Below are 15,275 nucleotides of genomic sequence, written 5' to 3' on the forward strand. Positions count from 1 at the left end.
GTTGCACCATGTTGGCCAGGATGGTCTTGATCTCCTGACCTCAGGTGATCTACCGCTCTCAGCCTCCCAAAGTGCTGGCATCACAGGCGTGAGCCACCACACACAGCCCAAAAACACTTTTGACAAGACAATTCTGGTCTTGGTTGTGAGGTATGTACATTAAAAAAAGGATCTTTAGTAAAAAAGAATCGTTAACAGACCTTCATTTATTTAACTGTTAAGAATGTGTCAAAAGGTTATCAGAGATGAACGTATAAAACATTCAATTATATGAATAGCTGGCTGACCCCTATATGTATATATAGCACATAGTAAAGGAAAATAGGAACACAGTAATATAATTTGGATCCTTGTCCCCTCTAAACCTCAGGTTGAAATGTGATCCCCACTGTGGAAAGTGTGACTTGGCAAGAGGTATGACAAGGCAGATCCCTCATGAATGGCTTGGTGCACTCCCCCTGCTAATAGGCGAGGGTCCTTGCTCTGTTACTTCACAGGATGTCTTCCTCTCTCTTCCTCTCCCTCTCTCCAAGTGACACACCTGCTCCTCCAAGCAATAACAAGTAAAGGCTTTGCGAAGCACAAGTAACAGCTTCCTGAGGCCACCACAGACTCTGAGCAGCTGTTAGTGTCATGTTTGCATGGCCTGCAGAACCTAATAAACCTATTTTCTTAAATTATTTTATATTTATTTATTTATAGTTTTATTTTTTTTCAAGGCAGAGTCTTACTCTGTTGCCCAGGCTGGAGCACTGCAGCGCAATAGCACAATCTTGGCTCACTGCAATCTCCATATCCTGGGTTCAAGCAATTCTCCTGCCTCAGCCTCACAAGTAGGTGGGATTACAGTTGAGCACCACCATGCTTGGCTAATTTTTGTATTTTTACTAGAGACGGGGTTTCGCCATGTTGGCCAGGCTGGTCTCAAACTCCTAATCTCAGGTGATCCACCCGCCTCGGCCTCCCAAAGTGCTGGGATTACAGGCATAAGCCACCGCGCCCGGCCACAAAAACTAATTTAAAGCACTTGAAAATATTAAACATGCCACCTTCCCCACCATTATTAACTATTATTGTACTTCTACTATGCAACTTGGATCAAAAAATTTTAGGAGTACCTAAGTGTGATGATTTGGTTTTCACATTCATGTGTGAGCTGTGCCTGCCTTTTGTTACAAGGGCATATTACCCTTTGTTGTGAAAAAAACTTTTTTGATCGGACACAGAGGCTCAGTCCTGTAATCCCAGCAGTTTGGAAGGCTAAGGTGGGACATCATTTAAGGCCAGGAGCTAGAGACTAATCTGAGCAACACAGCAAATGTAGTTTAAAAAAAAAAAAACCCTAAGTAATATAATTATGGTAATTACTTACTGTAATAAATCCATATCCCTTGGATCGACCAGTTTCACTGTCCATCATCAGCTGGATACTTTCAATCTATAATTGAAAAGCATAATTACTATAACTTAAAAGCAGAGTACAAAACTACTTTCTTCCCTGAGACATGGTTTTAAAAATCTACCAGTCTCCTCATCCTCCAAAATAGAAGACTTATCACAAAACCTCATCACCAAGAAGTCTTTTTTAAGTCTAGAAACTATAATTTTATATGTAAAATGAAAAAAATTAGGCTGGGCGTGGTGGTCGGCGCCTGTAATCCCAGCATTTTGGGAGGTTGAGGGAGGCGGATCACCTGAGGTCAGGAGTTTGGGACCAGCCTGGCCAACATGACGAAATCAGGTCTCCACCAAAAATACAAAAATTGTCTGGGCTTGGTGGCGCATGCCTGTACGCCCAGCTACTTGGAATGCTGAAGCAGAAGAATTGCTTGAACCCGGGAGGCAGAGGTTGCAATGACCCCAGAGCACGCCACTGTACTCCAGCCTGGACAACAGAGCGAGACTTGGTCTCAAAAAACAAAACAAAAACAAAAAAAAAAAACAAACTCTAGAAACTTCCCAAGCGAGAAATTATGCACTGGGGAGCAGAGGGGAGAAAAAAAAACTATGATTGTAACCTAAGATTAATTTTTATATCAATACTAAACCACTGAAAACCAGAAATCCTTCGTAAATTACCAATAGAAGGTAGAAACAAAATCAACGTTTCCTTCCCATTGTGCTAAAAACACCAAGCAGTAATTTCCAATTATACCAGACAGAATCGTAAAAATGGAATGAATTTGGCAATATACAATGAATTTGGCAATAACTGCACAATTCTGTGAATTGTACTAACTAAAAACCATTGAGTTTACGTTCAATCAGTGAACTGTAACACAATCTCCTGATTTAGCTGTCCATTTAAAAAAAGGTATGAAAAATTAAAACAGAGCATCCAGCCAGGTGGGTTGGCTCAGGTCTGTAATCCGAGCACTTTGGGAGGCAGGAGGATCGCATGTTAAGGAGGTGGACGCTACACAGTGAGCTTGCATCATGCTGTTGCACTCCAGCCTCAGTCACAGAGGGAGACTCTGTCTCAAACAAGAAAGGAACTTTTTTTTTTTTTGAGACGGAGTCTCGCTCTGTGGCGCAGGCTGGAGTGCAGTGGTGTGATCTTGGCTCACTGCGAGCTCTGCCTCCCGGGTTCACACCATTCTCCTGCCTCAGCCTCCCAAGTAGCTGGGACTACAGGCACCCACCACCACGCCCAGCTAAATTTTTTGTATTTTTAGTATAGACGGGGTTTCACCGAGTTTGCCAGGATGGTCTTGATCTCCTGACCTCGTGATCCACCCGCCTCGGCCTCCCAAAGTGCTGGGATTACAGGCATGAGCCACTGCGCCCAGCCCAAGGAACGAACTTTTAATGTTAAGTATATTTTACCAAAATTTTAAAAAAGAAACAAAGTTTATTTGCTAGTATTTGCTAAGCCACAGAAAGTCTATGGAAGGATATAAAAAACAAAACAAAACAAAAAAAAAACGGGTAAGGGCTGCCTCTAGAAAAGGAGTAGTCGTGGATGAAGTGGGACTATGATAGGGATAAGATATTCTAGGAGCATTAGCTAGCAAAAAGTAAACAATATAAACATTTAGGCTGGGCTCGGTGGCTCCCACCTGTAGGTGTGAGCTGACATGGGCAGACTATCTGAGCTCAGGAGTTCGAGACCAGCCTGGGCACCACGGTGAAACCCTGTCTCTACTAAAACACAAAAAAGTAGGTTGGGCTCCGTGACTCATGCCTGTAATCCCACCACTTTGGGAGGCCGAGGAGGGCGAATCACCAGAGGTCAGGAGTTTGAGACCAGCCTGACCAACATGGAGAAAAACCCTGTCTCTACTAAAAATACAAAATTAGCAGGGTGTGGTGCCGCATGCCTGTAATCCCAGCTACTTGGGAGGCTGAGGCAGGAGAATCGCTTGAACCTGGGAGATGGGGGTTATGGTGAGCTGAGATCATGCCATTGCACTCCAGCCTGGGCAACAAGAGCAATACTCCATCTCAAAAAAAAAAAAAAAAAAAAAAAGCCAGGCATGGCGGCATGCACCTATAATCCCAGCTGCTAGGGAAGCTGTAGAAGAATTGCTTGAACCTGGGAGGCAGAGGTTGCAGTGAGCTATCGCACTCCAGCCTGGGTGACAGCGCAGGACTCAGACTCCAAAAAAAATAATAAAATAAACCTTTAAAAAGGGCTTCTTATTAAAGCTGCTACATTATGTTTACTGGAGTTGGGCACTTAATGCATACTAATTGTTCTGGGGCAAAGGTAAGCAAACTACATATACCCCATGAACCAACTCCAGCTTGACTTGTTTTATAAATCTTTCTCCTGTCTGAGCCTCCAGAGTAAGCTGGAACTACAGGCATATGCCACCCAAGACCGGCTAATTTTTATATTTTTAGTAGAGAAGAGGTTTCACCATGCTGGCCAGACTGGTCTCGAACTCCTCACCTCAAGTGATCCACCCGACTCGGCCCCCAAAAGTGCAGGGATCACAGGCATGAGCCACTGTGCCTGGCCCATACTCAATTTCTTAATAGCTTACAGCTGTTTGGAAGAGAGTTGAGTACTTGCAACAAGACCATATGGCACTGAAAACCTAAAATGGGTCTGGGCGCAGTGGCTCACGCCTGTAATGACAACACTTTGGGACACCGAGGCGGGTAGATCACCTGAGGTCAAGAGTTCGAGACCAACCTGACCAACACACCAAAAATTAGCTGGGCGTTGTGGTCAGAGCCTGTAATCCCAGCTACTCAGGAGGCTGAGGCAGGAGAATCAATTGAACCTGGGAGGCGGAGGTTGCAGTGAGCCGAGACTGCACCACTGCACTCCAGCCTAGGCGCAAGGAGTGAAACTCCCATCTCAAAATTTAAGAAATAGTTTGACAAATCAGACTCTAGAGTAATAAAAATAATTTAAATATCAACTGTTTCCTGATGTTAATTTTTATATGGTACACAGATTTCTCAAATATCCATGATTATTCTTTTTCTTTTCTTTCGGAGACACTCTGGCTCTGTTATCCAGGCGTGATCTCGGCTCACTGCAATCTCTGCCACCCGGGTTCAAGTGACTCTCCTGCCTCAGCCTCTTAAGTAGCTGGGATTAGAGGGATGCGCCACCACACCCACCTAATTTTTCTATTTTTAGTAGAGACAAGGTTTTACCACGTTGGCCAAGCTGGTCTCAAACTCCTGACCTCAAGCGATCCACTTGCCTCGGCCTCCCAAACAAAGAGATGGGATTACAGGTGTGAGCCACTGCACCTGGCCAGTGAATATATTTTTAAAAGTTAAATTTTATTTGTTCTATCTAGCTCCTTTTAAATTTATGCCTTTTGCTAAAATTATTGAGTGGAAAAGGTTCATTCCTCACAGTGACAGGACAGTCTTGGCAACTTTCTCTCCTCAACACAGAACTAGTTGGACACTCTTGGTTTAGGTAGATAGCACAAAGTCCTCTAGAACAAAAGCCAAGCTGCTCTGAATTGAGCTCAAGACCACAATGCCAGACACAAGGCCTCGTGGCGCCTGTGAAGCAGATCAAGTTGGTTCCTCACTTTGCCATGTAACAGCTCATGTGGCCCCAACTGCTCTGAACTTCATTTCTCCATATAGCACATAATGGCATGTCAACCTCCACCTAAGATCCATGTTACTGATAGAAAAGTCAATGGAGGCCAGGTCCAGTGGCTCACACCTGTAATCCCAGCACTTTAGGAGGCCGAAGCAGATCACCTGAGGTCAGGAGTATGAGACCAACTTGGCCAACATGGTAAAGCCCTGTCTCTAAAAAAAAAAAAAAAAATTAGTCGAGCATGATGGCAGGCACCTGTAAACCCAACTACTCGGAAGGCTAAAGCAAGAGAATCGCTTGAACACAGAGAGGAGGAGTTTGCAGCGAGGCGAGATTGTGCCACTGCACTCCAGCCTGGGCAGCAGAATAAGACTCTGTCTCAAAAAGTCAATGGAGAAAGTACCAGAGTGGATCAGAAGTGGGTCACATACTGTTAGGCAGAACAGCCTTGCCAGAGGGGCATTCACCCACTGAAGATTTCAACAGACAGAAAAAGGGCAAATCTAATCAGGCTACCAAGGCCTGGAACTGAGCACATAACCAGGGAGACAGAGTAATGTCTTTTTAAAGGTAAGGGTCTCGCCAGGCCAGGCTGGAGTGCAGTGGTGCCATCCCAGCTCACTGCAACCTCTGCCTCCTATATTCAAGGGAGAAATTCTGCTGCCTCGGCCTCCCGAGTAGCTGGGAACACAGAGACGCACCAACACGCCCAGCTAATTTTTGTATTTTTAACAGAGACGTGGTTTTACCATGTTGGCCAGGATGGTCTTGATCTCATAATCTGCCCACCTCGGCCTCCCTCCCAAAATGCTGGGGTTACAGGTGTGAGCCACCGCACCCGGCCAACAGAAAAGAATCTTAAGATATTCAACTTTCTTTTAAAAACAATCTTTTAAAAAAAATCCTACTAAAAAATAATAGTCTTCGTATGATTTAACAATTTTCCTTCTTTTGACACAGGATCACACTGTTACCCAAGGTGGAGTGAAGTGGCATAATCATGGCTCACTGCAACCTTGAAATCCTGGGCTAATGTCATCCTCCTGCCTCAGCACCCCAAGTAGCTGGGATTACAGGCATGAGCCACCATGCCCAGCCAATGTGGACTTTTTATTAACTCTAATACCCATTATGCATTTCACATGGCATTATGAATAACAGTAACATTCTTTTAAGAATCTATCAAGTGACCTATTTTAATCTATGTTGTCACAGAAATTTTTATAAAACCAGCCCTTATCCTCTTAATATTAACTCACAGAAAGATAACAAAGCAAGACATACAGAAATTATGTAGTTATACTCAGATCAACAACCTACTGAAGATTCATTGAAGAACCTGGACTTACTCTTCCAAAAGGCTCAAAGATCCCACGAAGCATATCTTCAGTTATGTTGAAGTGTAATGAGCCCACATAAAGCCTCATAGGTCCAGCACTTCCCTTTTGTAAATTGTTTGCCATTGCTGCAGCTCTGTTTTTTTCTGCCTAGAAGACAAAATACACGTCACACAGAGATAACACACAGCAGTTTAAAGACATACACCTTCCATTTGCATAACAACTAATGTTAAAGTTTAGAGTGATAAAAATACTACCCTACGTAAGTCAGATACTACATATCAACTTAATAGGAGGCATCTAGAATATGCAAAATTCAGAAAGAGGAGGTAGATAACATTTTACCAAGGGCCTGCAGGAAATTAGGGAGTTACAGCTTCAAGAGTACAGTTTTTGGCTGGGCACGATGGCTCACACCTGTAATCCCAGCACTTTAGTAGGCTAAAGCAGCCAGATCACGACATCAAGAGATCAAGACCATACTGGCTAACACAGTGAAACACCATCTCTACCAAATATAGAAAAAATTAGCCGGGTGCGGTGGTGGGCACCTGTAGTCCCAGCTACTCAGGAGGCTGAGGCAGGAGAATGGCATGAACCCAGGAGGCAGAGCTTGCAGTGAGACGAGATCACACCACTGCACTCCAGCCTGGGTGACAGAGTGAGACTCAGTCTCAAAAAAAATAAAAATAAAAAAAAAAATAAAAATAAAAAGTTTATTTAGAGGCTTTTTTTTTTTTTTTTTTGAGACAGTCTCACACTATGTTGCCCAAGCTGGTCTTGAACTCCTAAACTTAAGTGATCATCCTTCCTTCTCATCCACTAGAGACTGCCAGGGACTACAGCACACCCCACATCATACCCTGCTTATTTTAGAATGTTTTCAGAGCACATGCCAGTCACATATAAAGTAAGCAGGCTGGCCGGGTGCAGTGTCTCACGCCTGTAATCCTAGCACTTTGGGAGGCCGAGGCGGACGGATCACGAGGTCAGGAGATCAAGACCATCCTGGTTAACACAGTGAAACCCCGTCTCTACTAAAAATACAAAAAAATTAGCCGGGCGTGGTGGCAGGCACCTGTAGTCTCAGCTACTTGAGAGACTCAGGCAGGAGAATGGCGTGAACCCAGGAGACGGAGCTTGCAGTGAGCCAAGATCGCCCCACTGCACTACAGCCTGGGCGACAGAGCGAGACTCCGTCTCAAGAGAAAAAAAAAAAAAAAAGTAAGCAGGCTACATTTCACACCTAAAATGAATCATGAACCTACATTCTTGACAACAATCTTAAGATGCATTCTGATACCACAAATACTAAATACAGAGAAAAATGCTTCCTGGAATTGTTAGACACAACCAACATTCACTAAAATACTCTTGAGATTGGTATAACCGAACGTAGTTGTTTGTGATAAAATAAGGTGTATATGCCATAACATAAAACTGTATCACCAAGCAAACATTTTGAGTCAGCTGTCATCCCTCCATAACCAAGATCGCCTCAAAAAAAAAAAAAAAGAAAAGTTGTCCATTTGCATTCTAACACAGGCTTCTCTTGTAACAAACTAGAGTACATTGGATAGTACTGCTCTACAACAGGTTGCTGCATGAATTTAAAACCTCACTTAATATGCTACTTCTCAGCCCTGGGTCCCGCCAATGCACACCCAGCCACTAAGTTTGTCTTCCAACATAGGAAATAATTTGAGTAACTCTTTTTTCTTTTTGAGACACAGTCTTGGTTCTTGTCGCCCAGGCTGCAGTGCAATGGCGTGATCTTGCCTCACTGCAACCTCTGCCTCCTGGGTTTAAGCAATTCTCCTGCCTCGGCCTCCTGAGTAGCTGGGATTACAAGTGCCTGACACCATGCCCAGCTAATTTTTGCATTTTAGTAGAGACAAGGTTTCACCATGTTGGCCAGGCTGGTCTCGAACTCCTGACCTCAGGTGATCCGCCCGCCTCAACCTCCCAAAGTGCTGGGATTACAGGCATGAGCCATCGCGCCCAGCCAAAATACTAAAATATTAAATGCTGTCAAAGCGCTGTGCGGCTCAAGTGATCCTAACACTTCAGGAGGCCCAGGCCAGAGGATCACTTGAGCATGACAGTTTGAAACCAGCCTGAGCAACATGGCAAGACCCTGTTTCTTAAAAAAATTTAAAAATTAGCTGGGAGTGGTGGCACGCACCTGTAGACCTAGCTACTCAGGAGACTGGGGAGAAAAGACTGCTTGAGCCCAGCAGGTCAAGGCTACAGTGAGCTGTGATTATCTCACTGCACTCCAGCCCTGGCAACAGAAGTGAGACCCTATCTCAAAAACAAGGCCAGGTGTGGTGGCTCACAACTGTAATCTCAGCACTTTGGAAGGCTGGGGCAGGTGGATCACCTGAGGTCAGGAGTTCAATACTAGCCTGGCCAACATGATGAAACCCCATCTCTACTAAAAACACAAAAAGTAGCCGAACGTGGTGGCAGGCTCCTGTAATCCCAGCTACTCAGGAGGCTGAGGCAGGAGAATCGCTTGAACCCAGGAGGTGGAGGTTGCAGTGAGCAGCGATCATGCCATTGCACTCCAGCCTGGTGAGAGAGACTCCATCTCAAAAACAAAACAAAAAAAAGGCAAAATCATTACATTTCAAACACAAGGAGAAACGACAGGACGACAGTCTTGAGAAAACTGTATCAATGTTAATAAACGCAAAGTTAAAAAAAAAAAAAAAGTCCTGAAAACATCCGACTCAACGTAATGAGCAGCAGTCACAGAACACAACAGCACTATACCATGCAACAGGAGGCTTTCAACACCACCAATAATCAAACTCTTAACCAACAAAAAAATTACCTGTGATGCCTGTACTATGATTGGCACGCCTAAAACTCGTTGGCCAGTTAATCCTATTGCTAGAGGCACTGAGCTAACATCGACGAACTCCACATAAGCAATTCCTTTGGAACGTCTTGAATTTCTGTCAGAAATCATCCTCACATCTCGAACCTAGAAAGAAAACACAGTTGTTTGTGCAAACATCCATTGTAACACATGTAGAATTATTTCAAGAGACACTGTTGAAGGATGAAGGTATTTTTAAAAATTTAATTAAAAAAGTAAATCTGTAGGACAATTCCTATATCCTATCTTTATCTTTGAACAAATTTGTAGTAACATTTATCAACTCCAATACTACAAGAGGCAAAATGGAAACATTACCACAAACAAATACTGCTACTAAATCAAATGAAGTATTTGATGTTTACATGTTTTCTCTTGCAATTTCTACCTACTTGACCTCCCTAAACAGGTTAAGATTACCTTTCCTACTGTAGAGAAAAACTCTTCCAAATCCCTTGGTCGAATTCTTGCCGCCAGCTGCATACAGAAGACTGTCCTTGCATCTCTTTCCTCAGGAGTTAAATTATCAATAGGTTCTCTAATAGGAGTAAAACATATAAAATTAATTTCATAACAGATTTTAAAATAATTTTTATCTTTTTTATTTCTTCATATAGTTCAACAGGTTTTCAGGTACAGGTGGGTTTTGGTTACATAGATGAGTTCTTTAATGGTGAATTCTGAGATTTTAGTGTACCTGTCACCTGAGCAGTATATACTGTACCCTCACTCCTTTCCCAACTCCACAACAATATTTCCATCTTTAGAAACCAGGTCTTGCTATGCTGCACAAGTTGGTCTTGAACTACTGATCTCAAGCAATCCTTTTGCCCTAAACTCCCCCATAGCTACGGCATTTCACCATGTTAACTAGGCTGGTCTCGAACTCCTGACCTCAGATGATCCGCCTGCCTTGGCCTCCCAAAGTGGTGGGATAACAGGTGTGAGCCACTACGCCTGGCCTAAAATAATTCTCAAACATGTTCAGTAAACAGAGTAAGCTGTGAAACTGGTTTGTCATAATTCCCAAACCCATTTTCTTTTTTTTTTTTTTTTTTTTCCAGAGGAAGTCTTGTTCTTGTCCCCCAGGCTTGGAGTGCAACGGCGCCATCTTGGCTCACCACAACCTCCGCCTCCCTGAGTTCAAGCAATTCTGCTGCCTCAGCCTCCTGAGTAGCTGGGACTACAGGCGCCTGCCACCACACCCAGCTAATTTTTGTATTTTAAGTAGAGATGTGGTTTCACCATGTTGGCCAGGCTGGTCTCCAACTTTTGATCTCAGGTGATGTGCCCGCCTCGGCCTCCCAAAGTGCTGGGATTACAGGCATGAGGCACCGCACCCGGCCAACCCAAGCCCATTTTCAGTAAGATCTATTGACAAAAAATGCGCATAAAACTATTCAATGTAACTCAATTCCTTCTAAAAACTAAGGTTTACTGTTTCTTGTAATCACATCTTACATGGCATTAGCACAGAAGTCTACTGGCCTTACCATCTCAAAAAAAGTAATTTTTCTTTTCTTTTTTTGTTTTTGAGATGGAGTCTCACTGTCACTCAGGCTGGAGTGCAGTGGCGCAATCTCGGCTCACTGCAACCTCCGCCTCCAGGGTTCAAGCAATTCTTCTGCCTCAGCCTCCCGAGTAGCTGGGACTACAGGTGTGTGCCACCATGCCTGGCTAATTTTCTGTATTTTTAGTAGACATGGGATTCCACTGTGTTAGCCAGGATGGTCTTGATCTCCTGATCTCGTGATCCACCCGCCTCGGCCTCCAAAAGTACTCGGATTGTAGGCGTCAGCCACCACGCCTGGCCCAAAAAGGGTAATTTTTCTAAAACAAGGGTCAACCAGAAGCCTGACAGTTTAATCATAGTCATAAAACATATCACCAGACCAATCACAAATGCCAGACTGATCCAAAATCAGTGTAATGGATGATTCTTTACAACAAAACCATGTAATTGTAAAGTCAAATTAAGTTTGACAATCACAAATGGCAAACTTGAAGTGAAACCCCAAATGATTCTACAAATTCTACTTTACAAATTTAGATACAGTGTCTATTAACATCATCTCTGTTACAAAATATCAATTAAGGTTGTAAGTCATCCTTTAAGATGTAAGCCTAAACACGATCTTTTCCATTTTTTGGACACTCTCAGGATGTACGGGGGTTGGGGTGGTCGCTCCACCTGTAAGATTTGTCACAAAAGCTTTTTTTTCTTTTTGGAAACGCAGTCTAGCTGTCACCCAGGCTGGAGTGCAGTGGTGTGATCTTGGCTCATCACAACCTCCATCTCACGGGTTCAAGCAATTCTCCTGCCTCTCTTCCCGAGTAACTGGGATTACACGCACGCGCCACTACATCCGGCTAATTTTTGTACTTTATTAGTAGAGATGGGGTTTCACCATGTTGGTCAGGCTGGTCTCGATATCCTGACCTTATTGTTACAGGCATGAGCCACCACGCCAGGCACAAAAGCTTTTAAGGCCGGGAGTAGCGTGCAGATTGCTTGGCCCTGGATTTTCAGACCAACTGAGCAACATGGCAAAACCTTGTCTCTACAAAAAAAAAATAGAAAAATTAGCAGGGCATGGTGGCTGCACCTATAGTCCCAGCTACTCGGGAGGCTAACCTGGGTGGGATTGCTTATGACCGGCCATTAGAAACTGCAGTGAGACATGATTGCGTCACTGCACTATAGCCTGGGTGACAAAGAGAAACCCTACCTCAAAAAATAAAAAATAAAAATAAAAAAGCAAATGCTTTCTAGCCGGGGGTCTCAAAAAAAAAAAAAAACACCCACAATGCTACCACCTGACAAAATATTCCTTGAACCGAAATCGTAGACTGAACAAATACAGTTCCCTTTTTTTTTGTAGACAGTCTTGCTCTGTCACCAGGCTGGAGAGCAGTGGCGCAATCTCAGCTTACTGCAACCCTTGCCTCCTGGGTTCAAGTGATTCTCTTGCCTCAGCATCCCAAGTAGCTGGGACTACAGGTGCACACCACCATGCCCAGCTAATTTTTGTATTTTTTTTTTTTTTTTGAGACAGAGTTTCGCTCTTGTTGCCCAGGCTGGAGTGCAATGGCGCGATCTCGGCTCACTGCAACCTCCGCCTCTTGGGTTCAAGCGATTCTCCTGCCTCAGCCTCCCGAGTAGCTGGGATGACAGGTGCACACCACCACGCCCAGCTAATTTTTTGTATTTTTTAGTACAGACAGGGTTTCACCATGGCCAGGCTGGTCTTGAACTTCTGACCTCAGGTGATCCGCCTGCCTCGGCCTTCCAGAGTGCTGGGATTACAGGCGTGAGCCACCACCACGCCTGGCCTAATTTTTGTAGTTTTAGTAGAGGCAGGGTTTCACCATGTTAGCCAGGCTGGTCTCGATCTCTTGACCTTGTGGATCCACCCACCTCAGTCTCCCAAAGTGCTGGGATTACCCGCGTGAGCCACCGGGCCTGGCCTACAATTCTTATTTTTAAGAGTAAAATAATCCATGGAAACTTCATTGAAGAACCTAGGAGTAACAATTCAAATCACTAAGACTTCTGAGATGAAATAGTTTTCCTCAGGACAGCCAAATAGTAAAACTTACTGTTACAACTACTTCTCCACGAGGCTATTTCAAATAACTCATTATTTATTAATTCCAAAGTTAAGTGTAAAGTTTGATATAACTGCTACGTTGCCAACACAAAGAAACATTTAACACGAATAAGCTAATTACCCGATTTGATCATTACACTGTATACATGTATCAAAACGTAACTGTATTACCCATATACATAATCATTACATGTCCATTAAAAATAATAAATGCAAAAAGTTTATTTTAATTAAAATAGGAAAATAAGATTACATTAAAATAACTTTAGACTGGGAGTGGTGGCTCCTGCCTGTAATCCCAGCACTTTGGGAGGCTGAGGAGGGCAGATCATGAGCTCAGGAGTTCAAGACCAGCCTGACCAACATGGTGAAACCCCGTCTCTACTTAAAATACAAAAATTTGCCGGGCATTGTGGCACATGCCTGTACTCCCAGCTACTCGGGAGGCTGAGGCAGGAGAATCACTTGAACCCAGGAGGCAGAGGTTGCAGTGAGCCGAGATCCCACCACTGCACTCCAGCCTGGGTGACAGAGCGAGACTCCATCTCATAAATAAATAACTTTTGTGGCCGGGTGTGTTGGCTCACACCTGCAATCCTACCACTTTGAGAGGCCAAGGTGGGTGGACCATCTGAGGTCCGGAGCTCAACACTAGGCTAGCCAACATGGTGAAATCCCATCGCTACTAAAATAAAAAAATAGCGAGGCATGGTGGTGCATGCCTGTAATCCCAGCTACTTGGAGGGCTGAGGTAGAAGAACTGCTTGAACCCAGGAGGCGGAGGTTGCAGTAAGCCAAGACTGCACTACTGCACTCCATCCTGGGTGACTGAGTGAGACTCCGTCTCAAAATAAATAAATAAATAAATAAATAAATATATAACTGTTGCTTTAATTATATGAAATTAAAGTGAAAACTACTGAAAACTCAGTAGAAATTCACTTGACCTTAAAGTACTGGAAGTGCAAAAGAAAGCAAAAGCAAGATTTAATATGGTCCAAATTACTAAATATCATCAAATTTAACAGTACCATAAGCTGCAAAAGCTTTTTAAGAGCTAAAGGCTTTAAAGAAGTAAACTACCTCACAGGGCTCTTGTCTTTTCTGAATGGACTTTTGCTTCGGGAACGTCGTCTGCTGCAAAGTTAAAAAGTTTCAGAAGTTATCCAAACAAGTACAGCATGTTAGTTCCTTGAAAAACAATTTAAACAATTCAGAAGTATGTTTAAAAACCTTAATTTGATGCTATGAGGCAACCCAATCTTTCCTCGGATGGCACTGTTAAATTTTGGTCCGGAGCTAAAAAGGAAACACAAAATTACACTAGTTACAGGTTTAGGGTCTTGCTAAGATCGCATTCATGCGCTCTCCAGCAAGACTAACATTGTTTAGGCTACTGCTTTTCCACCTCAGTTATGAAGAGGAAACAAAAATACTTGTCTCTTAACTTTATTCCCAGGCAAGCTGCCCTTGTATTTATCCATCCTGGACCACTGAGAGGTGCCAAGACCAAAGGTTACAGCCTCAAAATTTTTAGATTCTGAAAATGCACACACCCATTTTCAGACTTTAGATATCTTTGTAAGCTACATATATATATACAGTCTTGAGAATTAAAAAAAAAAAAACACACACACACATATATAAAAAATAAATCCCTCTGAACTTCCCTCACACCAGCAGTAACTATGGTTAACAATTTGGTGTGTATCTTTGCAGATCCTCTCTTGGGAATCTATGTGTGTACATGTACATATACAATTTTCATATACATCTTCTTTTTGAAAGACTTCTTTTAAAAACTAAAGTGAATTCTTTAGTCATGCAACTTAGGTATTTCCCCATTCACCAGTAACTCTTAAGACAGCATGACACCACTTAACACACTACATACTTCAGTTGTTTGTTGCAAAAATATTCCATCGTGAACATGTGAAGGTAATTTACCAATTCTCTAGAAAAATTTTGTGAGGACTTGTCAGGACTAACAGAGTGTTTTCACAAAGATCATAAAGGTAATTATTCTGTAGTAACAGTTTTTGTGACTTTTTAAAGACCAGGCTAACTTAAAGGGACTAGCCAGTTGTCCATTAGTGCTCATCCTGCTAACTTATTCCAGAAGAACAGCGAAATAAATAAATACATAGTGGCCTGTGATCCACACATTTGAATTAGTTTTCATGAACACCATGCCTACCTACAACATGCAAGTATTTCCAAATAAAACACTTTATATTAACTTGACCCTTTGCAATTCAGACTAATGCTGATGACTGAGAATCATTTACTGGATGTATTACAGTTCTCAAGTAATTAGTTATAAGCTATTTTCTTTCCCCTTTAATTATAAAATATTCTGAGTTACAGCCTCAAACCCAACATTAAGAACTAAGTAATTTTTTATTAAAGTTAAG

At 42.9% G+C, this 15,275-nt stretch overlaps 1 protein-coding gene and 1 non-coding gene across 18 annotated transcripts in view; one reads left to right on the top strand and one right to left on the bottom strand.

The window, feature by feature from the left end:
• The window catches only part of RBM39 (RNA binding motif protein 39), a 40,914-nt gene that overhangs the window by 14,021 nt on the left and 11,618 nt on the right, over positions 1–15,275 (bottom strand). For 13 of the 17 annotated variants that reach the window (NR_040723.2, NR_040724.2, NR_040722.2 and 10 more), the window contains 6 exons: positions 14,095–14,160; positions 13,945–13,998; positions 9,671–9,788; positions 9,203–9,355; positions 6,373–6,510; positions 1,373–1,438 (listed from right to left, as the gene is read on the bottom strand). Coding sequence is in view for 14 of the 17 variants with exons in the window: in NM_001323422.2 (NP_001310351.1) it covers positions 1,373–1,438; positions 6,373–6,510; positions 9,203–9,355; positions 9,671–9,788; positions 13,945–13,998; positions 14,095–14,160 (595 nt within the window). In the remaining 3 variants the exon portion in view is untranslated. The remainder of the gene's footprint in view (positions 1–1,372; positions 1,439–6,372; positions 6,511–9,202; positions 9,356–9,670; positions 9,789–13,944; positions 13,999–14,094; positions 14,161–15,275) is intronic. The other 4 variants (XM_017028138.3, NM_001242600.2, NM_001242599.2 and 1 more) reach the window with 2 other exon arrangements.
• LOC124904980 (small nucleolar RNA U13) lies at positions 1,104–1,203 on the top strand. Its single transcript, XR_007067771.1, has one exon. It is a non-coding gene; the product is annotated as a small nucleolar RNA U13 (small nucleolar RNA).

This window comes from Homo sapiens, chromosome 20 (assembly GCF_000001405.40).
Source record: "Homo sapiens chromosome 20, GRCh38.p14 Primary Assembly".
Classification (NCBI taxonomy): Eukaryota; Metazoa; Chordata; class Mammalia; order Primates; family Hominidae; genus Homo; species Homo sapiens.